General features: G+C 35.4%; 1 protein-coding gene across 9 annotated transcripts in view; it reads right to left on the bottom strand.

The window, feature by feature from the left end:
- The window catches only part of METTL15 (methyltransferase 15, mitochondrial 12S rRNA N4-cytidine), a 424,088-nt gene that overhangs the window by 322,073 nt on the left and 89,629 nt on the right, over positions 1 to 12,386 (bottom strand). The window lies entirely within an intron of this gene.

Here is a 12,386-nt window from a genome sequence, read left to right as displayed (position 1 = left end):
AAAATTCCAGTGTCTTCAGCGGTTAAAAAAAAAATGAAGAAGAAAAGAAGATACCATCACCACCTGCCTAATTGTTAAGGTAACATATCATTTCTCATGTAAATCAAAACATTTTTAAGAGTGAAACATTTGCCAGTAATAATTTTGCCAGGACAACATGATAGGATGTACTTAAGTACAAATCACTCAATGCTTGGCTCATTCCAGATATACAGTATGGTTAATTGAATCTGAATCTATTTCTTGGCTATTTTATTTGGCCACACTCTAAAGAGAATAGTCACGTCACAGTTGAGCAAGCAACCAGACCTGGATCATAAGAAACATATGTGTGTACAAGTTAGTTGATTGTAACTAGTTTGCAAGTCAAGACATTCTCCACATATTCCCTCAAAGTTATGCTCTTAGTTTAATGGGACCTTTCAGTAAACTTCATTGGTGTTATGAAAATAAAACAATTACTCTAATAATATTGACTACAATGACAACATAAGTCTACTGGCTAGATTTAAAAATATCTAAACATACAATTTTCTTAAAGTTCATGTGCATAGTACATAACAAGGGAAATTCCTGTCATGGATTTGAATATATTTCCATGCTCTGAATGTTTCCACTTATTTCAGGGACAGTGGTCAGAAATTGGGCATGCAATTATGCTTTGATTTTTTGGCTCGTATCTACCATGCTAAGTCCCATCCGCTGATCAAGTCCTCATAAAAGTTAGCCTGCTACTGAAAGAATAACATGGAGGAAATCGTCTGATCAAAATTGGAGGATGGACATAAAATATAAAAAGATGTAAATGTGGTGAAAATGTACAAGCAATGCTTTTTAACACAAATGTTGTAGTGTGACTTAACTTTGTACTTCTATCACTATCACCATAAAAGGCATGGCTAAATATATTTTTACCATTTTAAACAATATCTTTTTATTTATAGAAACACTTAAATCTCAAGATCAAATAATTTCCTTTGCCAGTCACTTATTTTACACATCGATGAATTGGCAAAAATCTTCCACTATGCATTACATCAATTTGAAAATTTTAAGAAGTTCAACATAATTTAACCAAAGAATTTTTTCCAAGGCAAAACCATAAACTACTTCCTTGTCATGGGATCAATACCTAGCCTTGCTGTAACTATAGATTTAAACTAAAAGTAGATTAAATAAAACAATTTAGATACAATTACCCTTATTCTGAGACAAGAAAGTCCCAATCAATATTTAAAGAAAAATCATCATCATTAGCAATATTCTGAAAAATGTGAGTGATTATAATTTACATGATTATTTTTAATGTATCATGATTATGCCCTTGTAGATGTACTGACAATCAAGAAAGTTTCCACAGGGGAAAAAAAATCTATTACTACCAGTCAAGTGTAACACAGAAACCAAAAAGTGGCAGACAAATGGAATTTATGAAACTAGAAGGGAAACCCATCATATGTCCTGAGTTAATACGTGATTGGAGCCATCAACTCTCATTTTTACAATTCTAATATTCATTGTTCATCACATGTAATAGTGACATCTAGGCCTCATGAGCCAACCAGCACCACAATTGAAAAGGGAGCCAATTAGTTTACTCCTTCTTCTAGGTCACTAACATAAGACCACAGTTTAAAATCTGTAGGAGTTGCAAATAAAAAAAGCAACTGAATAATAATAAGAGACTTTAACACCCCACAGTCAACATTAGACAGATCAAGGAGACAAAAAGTTAACAAGGATACTCAGGAATTGAACTCAGCTCTGCACAAAGCGGACCTAATAGACATCTACAGAACTCTCCACCCCAAATCAATAGAATATACATTTTTTTCAGCACCACACCACACCTATTCCAAAATTGACCACATACTTGGAAGTAAAGCTCTCCTCAGCAAATGTAAAAGAACAGAAATTATAACAAACTGTCTCTCGGACCACAGTGCAATCAAACTAGAACTCAGGATTAAGAAACTCACTCAAAACCACTCAACTACATGGAAACTGAACAACCTGCCCCTGAATGACTATGGGGTACATAACGAAATGAAGGCAGAAATAAAGATGTTCTTTGAAACTAACGACAACAAAGACACAACATACCAGAATCTCTGGGACACATTCAAAGCAGAGTATAGAGGGAAATTTATAGCACTAAATGCCCACAAGAGAAAGCAGGAAAGATCAAAAACTGACACCCTAACATCACAATTAAAAGAACTAGAAAAGCAAGAGCAAACACATTCAAAAGTTAGCAGAAGGCAAGAAATAATTAAAATCAGAGCAGAACTGAAGGAAATAGAGACATAAAAAACCCTTCAAAAAATTAATGAATCCAGGAGCTGGTTTTTTGAAACGATCAACAAAATTGATAGACTGCTAGCAAGACTAATAAAGAAGAAATGAGAGAAGAATCAAATAGATGCAATAAAAAATGATAAAGGGGATATCACCACAGATCCCACAGAAATACAAACTACCATCAGAGAATATTACAAACACCTCTATGCAAATAAACTAGAAAACCTAGAAGAAATGGATAAATTCCTTGACACATACACCCTCCCAAGACTAAACCAGGAAGAAGTTGAATCTCTGAAAAGACCAATAACAGGATCTGAAACTGTGGCAACAGTCAATAGCTTACCATCCAAAAAGGGTCCAGGACCAGATGGATTCACAGCCAAATTCTACCAGAGGCACAAGGAGGAATTGGTACCATTCCTTCTGAAACTATTTCAATCTATAGAAAAAGAGGGAATCCTCCCTAACTCATTTTATGAGGCCAGCATCATCCTGACACCAAAGCCGGGCAGAGACACAACAAAAAAAGAGAATTTTAGACCAATATCCTTGATGAACCCTGATGCAAAAATCCTCAATAAAATACTGGCAAGCCCAATCCAGCAGCACATCAAAAAGCTTATCCACCATGATCAAGTGGGCTTCATCCCTGGGATGCAAGGCTGGTTCAACATATGCAAATCAATAAATGTAATCCAGCATATAAACAGAACCAAAGACAAAAACCACATGATTATCTCAATACATGCAGAAAAGGCCTTTGACAAAATTCAACAGCCCTTCATGCTAAAAACTCTCAATAAATTAGGTATTGATGGGACGTATCTCAAAATAATAAGAGCTATCTATGACAACCCCACAGCCAATATCATACTGAATGTGCAAAAACTGGAAGCATTCCCTTTGAAAACTGGCACAAGACACGGATGCCCTCTCTCACCACTCCTACTCAATATAGTGTGGGAAGTTCTGGCCAGGGCAATGAGGCAAGAGAAGGAAATAAAAGGTATTCAATTAGGAAAAGAAGAAGTCAAATTGTCCCTGTTTGCAGATGACATGATTGTATATCTAGAAAACCCCATCGTCTCAGCCCAAAATCTCCTTAAGCTGATAAGCAACTTCAGCAAAGTCTCAGGATACAAAATCAATATACAAAAATCACAAGCATTCTTATACACCAATAACAGACAAACAGAGAGACAAATCATGAGTGAACTCCCATTCACAACTGCTTCAAAGAGAATAAAATACCTAGGAATCCAACTTACAAGGGATGTGAAGGACCTCTTCAAGGAGAACTACAAACCACTGCTCAATGAAATAAAAGAGGACACAAACAAATGGAAGAACATTCCATGCTCATGGATAGGAAGAATCAATATCATGAAAATGTCCATACTGCCCAAGGTAATTTATAGATTCAGTGCCATCCCCATCAAGCTACCAATGACTTTCTTCACAGAATTGGAAAAGACTACTTTAAAGTTCATATGGAACCAGAAAACAGCCCGCATTGCCAAGACAATCCTAAGGCAAAAGAACAAAACTGGAGGCATCACGCTACCTGACTTCAAACTATACTACAAGGCTACAGTAACCAAAACAGCATGGTACTGGTACCAAAACAGAGATATAGACCAATGGAACAGAACAGAGCCCTCAGAAATAATACCATACATCTACAACCATCTGATCTTTGACAAACCTGACAAAAACAAGAAATGGGGAAAGGATTCCCCATTTAATAAATGGTGCTGGGAAAACTGGCTAGCCACATGCAGAAAGCTGAAACTGGATCCCTTCCTTACATCTTATACAAAAATTAATTCAAGATGGATTAAAGATTTAAACGTTAGACCTAAAACCATAAAAACCCTAGAAGAAAACCTAGGCATTACCATTTAGGACATAGGCATGGCTAAGGATTTCATGTCTAAAACACCAAAAGCAATGGCAACAAAAGCCAAAATTGACAAATGGGATCTAATTAAACTAAAGAGCTTCTGCACAGCAAAAGAAACTACCATCAGAGTGAACAGGCAACCTACAGAATGGCAGAAAATTTTTGCAACCTACTCATCTGACAAAGGGCTAATATCCAGAATCTACAATGAACTCAAACAAATTTACAAGAAAAAAACAAACAACCCCATCAAAAAGTGGGCGAAGGACATGAGCAGACACTTCTCAAAAGAAGACATTTATGCAGCCAAAAAACACATGAAAAAATGCTCACCATCACTGGCCATCAGAGAAATGCAAATCAAAACCACAATGAGATACCATCTCACACCAGTTAGAATGGCAATCATTAAAAAGTCAGGAAACAACAGGTGCTGGAGAGGATGTGGAGAAATAGGAACACTTTTACACTGTTGGTGGGACTGTAAACTAGTTCAACCATTGTGGAAGTCAGTGTGGCGATTCCTCAGGGATCTAGAACTAGAAATACCATTTGACCCAGCAATCCCATTACTGGGTATATACCCAAAGGACGATAAATCATGCTGCTATAAAGACACATGCACACGTATGTTTATTGAGGCACTATTCACAATAGCAAAGACCTGGAACCAACTCAAATGTCCATCAATGATAGACTGGATTAAGAAAATGTGGCACATATACACCATGGAATACTATGCAGCCATAAAAAAAGATGAGTTCATGTCCTTTGTAGGGACATGGATGAAATTGGAAATTATCATTCTCAGTAAACTATTGCAAGAACAAAAAAACAAACACTGCATAGTCTCACCCATAGGTGGGAATTGAACAAGGAGAACACATGGACACAGGAAGGGGAACATCACACTCTGGGGACTGTTGTGGGGTAGGGGGAGGGGGGAGGGATAGCATTAGGAGATATACCTAATACTAAATGACGAGTTAATGCGTGCAGCACACCAGCATGGCACATGTATACATATGTAACTAACCTGCACATTGTGCACATGTACCCTAAAACTTAAAGTATAATAAAATAAAAATTAAATAAAAATAAATAAATAAATATAGCAACTGGTCAATTTTTGTGGTTAACAAAGAAATGCACAGGAACAAATAAATCTGAATGTTTCAAAGTAACCCTTCTATGGATCTCATCTATACATACATTTTAAATGTATATTTTGTGCTCCAAAGACACATGGAACTTCTTTGAAATTACCTGATATAATTTATCTATAAACAAAACTCACATTTTAATACTAAGTTTATTCTGGTTATTTCACTGACAACCTGTATAATCGTAAAGAAATCACTTGAATTCTTTAAGCCTCAATTGTTTCATCTAAGAATAAATGGGAATAAAAAGTACCTCTATTTATCTTACAGAGATTTATAAAGATTACCTTATATCATCATTACAATCATGAAGGAGATGTCATTAGATGTTATATACACATTTTACAAACTAAGACTGCACTAAACTAGTAAGTGGCAAATGCAGGAATTGAATAGAGATGAATCTGGGCTTAAAACCTGGGTTCTTTCACATACCTCTCTGTGTCTTATTAAGTCATGAAGTCTGTATCTGCTTATTGCTTTATGGTTTACCAAGCATCGATGTTTTCCTACTTGGTCTAACAAATGCTCCGTGAGGGAATTAGACAACTGGCATTATATCCCTTTTTACAAAAAAAAAAAAAAAAAAAAAAAAAAGGAAAACTCAGGTGCAGAGAGAAAATGTGACTTGATTAAGATCCTATTACTAGTAAGTTAGGGGAAGTGAATTCTAAACTAGGTCTCGCCAACACTAAATTCTCTGCTCTTTCTGAAGAGAGAAAGAGGAAGAAAAGGCAAGAGTGATAGAAAGAACAAAAAATGTAAGACATAATTGGGGTTCAGAATCAAAATGAAAGTGAATTAAAGTAGAAAATATACAAACCAGCATTTGAGGAAAATGATTCTTGATTTCTACAATCCCCCAACTTTACCTCCAACTTAATGTGGCAGCATCAGTGCAAAACAGTAGGTGCTAAGTAATGTGATATGAATAAAGGAGCTCAGCCTCCCAAGGTAACTATGTTAAAGGTAGCAATTTTCATTTGTGCATTTGAGTCTAGAAACATTCTTCAAAATATAAGACTCATTACCACAGGACCATATAAAGTAGTTATAATTCAGCTCAAGATGTCCAACTTTTTAGAGTCATTTAACATCAATGTATTCCTAATATTGCCAACTGATTCATTAATGAATAGATCTCTCCTAGAACACAAATAATGATCTGTTATTAACTCTTTTGCACCATGTTTTTATTTGCTAATCACTCTCCTTTACATTTGAAATGAGAAAACAAGCTTTTCTTATTTTAGGCTAGTTCTTTTTAATCAAATACAACTAAATGTCATTTTATCCCCAATGTTCTTCAAATATGGACAGACACAGACACCACATTTCACAGGTCAAAGGGACATAACAGACTATTCCAATCCCTCCTTTTACTTATGAGGAAACCAAGGCCTGGAGAGGTTACCTGGTCGCTAGTTGGGGCAAAGCTAATAGTAAAATGTAGATCCTATGTCCTTTCCACATCATGTTGTAAACTTCCCCACTGAAATTACATAATCACATTGAAATAAAAACAATTGTTTCTTCAAAAAGTTTTCTCTTTCTTAATATGAAGATAGATACATATGGAAACATTGTTCCTATACAAGGATTCCTCCAATACAGTTAAAAACAACCAGTGTTCTACCAACCTAATTTTTTAAGTCTTTTAATTCAAACCTGCTAATTAAGTCTCCAAGAAAGATAATTATTTTGTATATGATTTAGTATAAATGTCCACCTATTATCTGTACCAGTTACTGATGAAGACTGACTTACTGACAGGTTATAGATTCCAATTTGATTTTGAAATTTAAAAATGATTTTTAAAATCATAGACTCATAGGTGGTTAGAGCAATCAGGACCCATGGAAATAATGCACATTTAATTCCTTTATTGTACATACTGTTCCACCTTTCTAAAGAATACATAGCTCTATACTTTCATACCTTTCAAATTTGATATCCTTTAAGACTCATCTCAGACTCCTCTCTGGAGTTGGAGATTGACAGAAATCAAGGCATTTGCCCAAGATCATCTTGCAGAGACTAGATAATTTTTTTTTAATCCAATCATTCTAATCATTGAAATTTTCACACTGTAACAACACTGTCGAAAATGAACATGAAAACATTTTTAGCCATAACAGTATGAGGGCAGATCTTAAAATTTCATTTTCCTAATGTTGCTTAGTCATTTTCAATCTGCAGAATATTTTTAATAGTAAGTTCCCATCTTAGTTTGGAAACAATATGGCCTGACTTCACTTTAAAACTTCATCCTATGAATCTTTTCTGGCAATTGCTAATTTGAATTTTTAGAATTGAAGTGCTTTTGAAAAAATTTTAGTTAAACTTCACCTATTTGCAACTAGTTTCATTTTGGAGTACTGAAATGTGCCAAGCACATGCTGAACTATATAGATTTTTTTTTCAGGAGGTAATTTAAAATGTTAGGCATTAATTAATCATCTGTATATTTATTGAGCATTCAGTGTAGAAGAGATGATAACAGGTAGATATTACATTATAGGCCTTCCAGTCTTGTGAGGGACTTTAGACATGCAAACAAACAGCTATAAGCCTAGTTAAAAAAAAAATCAGCAATGTAAGAAAGATATACATAGCATTCCATAAGGAGTCAAAAACCAGACATTTATTCCAGTCAGTGGCAAGATGGACTAAACTGGAGGAGGGTACAATTCAATTGATCTTTGAATGCTAAGCAGAACTCAGAGTTCATCCTATCTTCTCACTCTCCCATATACTCCAAACCCAACTGGTTACCAAATCCTGTTGATTTTACCATGTCTTGAATATTTCCACCCCCACTTTAATTTAGGCCCCCATATTCCCATGCTTTACTATTGAAATAGGCCCACAATTGATACCAATTCCTCTAATCTCACTTCTGATTTTTCTTACTACACTGTTAACAGGCTATACTATCTTACATAAAACTTTAGCATGTCACATCTGCATTTAAACCCCCTCAATGGCTCTCCAAAGCTACAGGATAGAGTCTAAACTTCTAGGCATAATGGGTAATATTCTTCATATTCTGGCCTTTGCATTTCTTTTCAACATTATCTCCCACTACTCTCAAAAATGAATTTTACAACGTATTTTCTAGCCATACAGAATATGTGAAATTGTCAAACATGCCAAGATGTCTCATGTCTTCTCTCACTTTTTTGCCTTGTTCCATCTTTGTCAAATTTTATTCTCAAACAATGAGGACAGCCCTAATATATCCACAGCATTGTTCTAAAAACTAGAAATACAACAGTGGGCCAAAGTAGATATGGTCTCTGATCTCATATAGTGATCCCCCAGAAATACAAACTACCATCAGAAAATACTATAAACACCTCTACACAAATAAACTAGAAAATGTAGAAGAAATGGATAAATTCCTGGACACACACACACACCCTCCCAAGACTAAACCAGGAAGAAGTCGAGTCCCTGAACAGACCAACTGCCTCTGAAATTGAGGCAGTAATTAATAGCCTACCAACCAAAAGAAGCCCAGGACCAGATGGGTTCACAGTCAAACTCTACCAGAGGTATAAATAGGAGCTGGTACCATTCCTTCTGAAACTATTATAAACAATTGAAAAGTTGGGACTCCTCCCTAACTCATTTTATGAAGCCAGCATCATCCTGATATCAAAACAGGGCAGAGAAAAGAAAACTTCAGGCCAATATCCCTGATGAACATCGATGCTAAAATCCTCAATAAAATACTGGCAAACCAAATCCAGCAGCACACCAAAAAACTTCTCCACCATGATCAAGTTGGCTTCATCCCTGGGATGTAAGGCTGGTTCAACATAATCCATCACATAAACAGAATCAGTGACAAAAACCACATGATTATCTCAATAGACTCAGAAAAGGCCTTTGATAAAATTCAACATCGCTTCATGTTAAAAACTCTCAATAAACTGTATTGATGGAATATATCTCAAAATAATAACAGCTATTTATGACAAACCCACAGCCAACATCATATTGAATGGGCAAAAGCTGGAAGTGTTCCCTTTGAAAACCAGTACAAGACAACAAGATAAGGATGCCCTCTCACCACTCCTATTCAACATAGTATTGGAAGTTCTGCAGGGCAATCAGGCAAGAGAAAGAAACAAAGGGGATTCAAGCAGGAAGAGAAGAAATCAATTTGTCTCTGTCTGAAGATGACATGACTTTATATTTAGAAAACCCCATCATCCCAGCACCAAAACTCAAGCTGATAAGCAATTTCAGCAAAGTATCAGGATACAAAATCAATGTGCAAAAATCACAAGCATTCCTTTACACCAACAACAGACAAGCAGAGAGCCAAATCATGAATGAACTCCCATTCACAGTCACTACAAAGAGAATAAAATACCTAGGAATACAGATAAAAATAATTTTTTAAGGACAAAAAAAAATTTTACTTCTCACAATATTAGACCGCTGGTAGGGTGTGAGAAAATAGTGATGACCTGAAGGCTTCCACTAGCGTAAAGCACCCAGTTAAGTAGAAACAACAGGCTGAATGGGCATCAGGAATGAAGAGTAATAATAACGACTATGTATGTTACATTTATGGAAGCTTATTTTATGACAAGCACAATGCTAAACATTTTACCATTCATTCATTTTATACATAGGCATAAAAACACACACATACACACTTTCAGTTAATTAAGTAATTCTCAAAGCTGTACTCTGAGGTAAGTCACTATTATTATCATCACTATTTTACAAAGAAAGGGAGGTTTAGGAAGAGTTAGGTAAATTGTTTGAGGTACAGCTAATGAATGGCAGAGATGGATTTCAAAAACAATTCTGTCTCCTGCCCACCTGCACAATTACCTACTTTGCTTTTTCACAGAAGTAGAATAAATTAGATGTGGTGAGTAGAGAAGTGAAATAAAAAATAATCACAAAGCATGCCATTTGGATAACTTGGAAGACAACAGATACAATTTACTATGCAATTACTATGCACCAGCACTCACTATGATAAACCCTTTAAAAAGTCAACTTTGGGAGGCCGAGGCAGGTGGATCACCTGAGGTCAGGAGTTCGAGACCAGCCTGACCAACATGGTGAAACCCCGTCTCTACTAAAAATACAAAAAATTACCCAGGCATGGTGGCGGGCGCCTGTAATCCCAGCTACTTGGGAGGCTGGGGCAGCAGAATCGCTTGATCCTGGGAGGAGGAGGTTGCAGTGAGCCGAGATCATGCCATTGCACTCCAGCCTGGGTGACAAGAGCGAGACTCCATCTCAAAAAAAAAAAAAAGTCAACTTAATTTAATTCTTACAACAGCCTGCAAGATGGATAATGTAATCCCATTTTACAGATGAGTATATTGGAGCCATTTACTTCAAAAAACATGATAGCACAATTAGAGATAGGCACAGAAATAAGCATTTTTCCCTACCTTCCATATCTCCCTCCCAGCTGCCACCTCTCAATTAGTGTTGTACTGGCCAAGAAGCAAATTCTTACTCCAGAAGAGAAAAAATTAAGAGCGTTAAAAAATACAGGCATTTTAAGAGAGAAAATCAGGCATTTTAAGAGAAACTTCTTGAAGAGGTTTAAGAATTTCATGTGGGAATAGAATAATTATTTATAGTAAACTTGGAACAGTGAAGTGAAGGGATTGCTGGGTACAGATTTTGAAGAGAATCTACAAATATAAGAAAAATTGATAGCTACTTAATGTAAGAGGGCTAACTATAGCAGCATTAATCCACAGTAAGATCAAGAAGGTTGGTTTGTAACAGTGCTTAAAAACACTAAGTTCTAAGTATACTTTTAAAAGATCATCCTAATCAAAAACATTGATTCATGTAAAAAACAAAAAAATAAATTAAATTACCTTCACTGTATATACAATTCATGGGGTTCAGCCTTTGGGAATATTGCGCCTCCAAACAAGGTCAACCTGGCAAATATTTGACAACAGAGGGATGCTCCTTTGACATAATTAGTAAGGTCAGTGTTAAGAGAGGGATGAGCTAGTATGACAAGTTTATTTGGACATTAAAAAAAAAAAAAATCACTAAAAAGAGTTCATAATGCCCCTGAAATGTTTGTAATTGCTAAGGCAAGCTATTGTTCTACCATTGTGTGCTGAATCACTCAAGACTATATTACTGACTTCTCTAAGGCTCTGCATGTTTTCTGTCTAACATGTCGACAACTAGAAATCTGTCACATTTGATATAGTTGTTAGACCTGAAATAAATTAGAACATGTAACTGTGAACACAGAAGTCCAACCTTATAGTTAGCTAACATTTTTTAACAAACATTTCTCCTACCAAAACCCTTGATTTATTATTGTCTTGTGAAGCTCGGTCAAGTATCTGTCTGCTAACACTTACTTTGTTTTATTGGTAACTATTATATGGGCTTATACAAAAGGGAAAAAACTCTCAGAAGCACATAAAAGTTTTACAACAAACAAAACAATTAATGCATTGCAATAAATTTATATCTCTTCCCATTTTATCAGAAGTATTGGTGTTACTATGATGACTCATTCTGCCTAATTCTGCAAATGTTTCCTCTTGTAGCTTAAATCCTTTCCTATTCACAAAATAAATCTTTACTTGTCATAAAAGTAAAATTTATTTTCTCTTCTTTTAAAGTATGTCCTTCAATTACATTAAATAATTGGAGTATTTATCATTCTTTGTGATAAATAGCTTTCACTCTTATGTGTAACATAGGATGTATTTAATCATAGTCCAAGTCACGTACAACAGAACTGTCACTTAATCTATTTACAGATAGAACGGCTAAATTAACACAAGTAGCTAATCTCAAAAATCTAATTTCACAGAGGTCTCTGTCCAAGACAATGCCAATCTGTCAGCGTCTTTTTTAAAAGACAAATAGTTTTTATCTACATTATCAAGAAATTCACATAACCCATACTGGACAAACACCAATGAACATACTAACTACTAAGAATGCTGGAGAGGTACTTTCTTTTAAGAATTACTAAATATATAGACTGT

The sequence above is a fragment of the Homo sapiens genome, chromosome 11 (assembly GCF_000001405.40).
Source record: "Homo sapiens chromosome 11, GRCh38.p14 Primary Assembly".
Lineage (NCBI taxonomy): Eukaryota > Metazoa > Chordata > Mammalia > Primates > Hominidae > Homo > Homo sapiens.
Note: the sequence above shows the minus strand (reverse complement) of the source record. Positions and strands in the feature narration are given on the sequence as shown.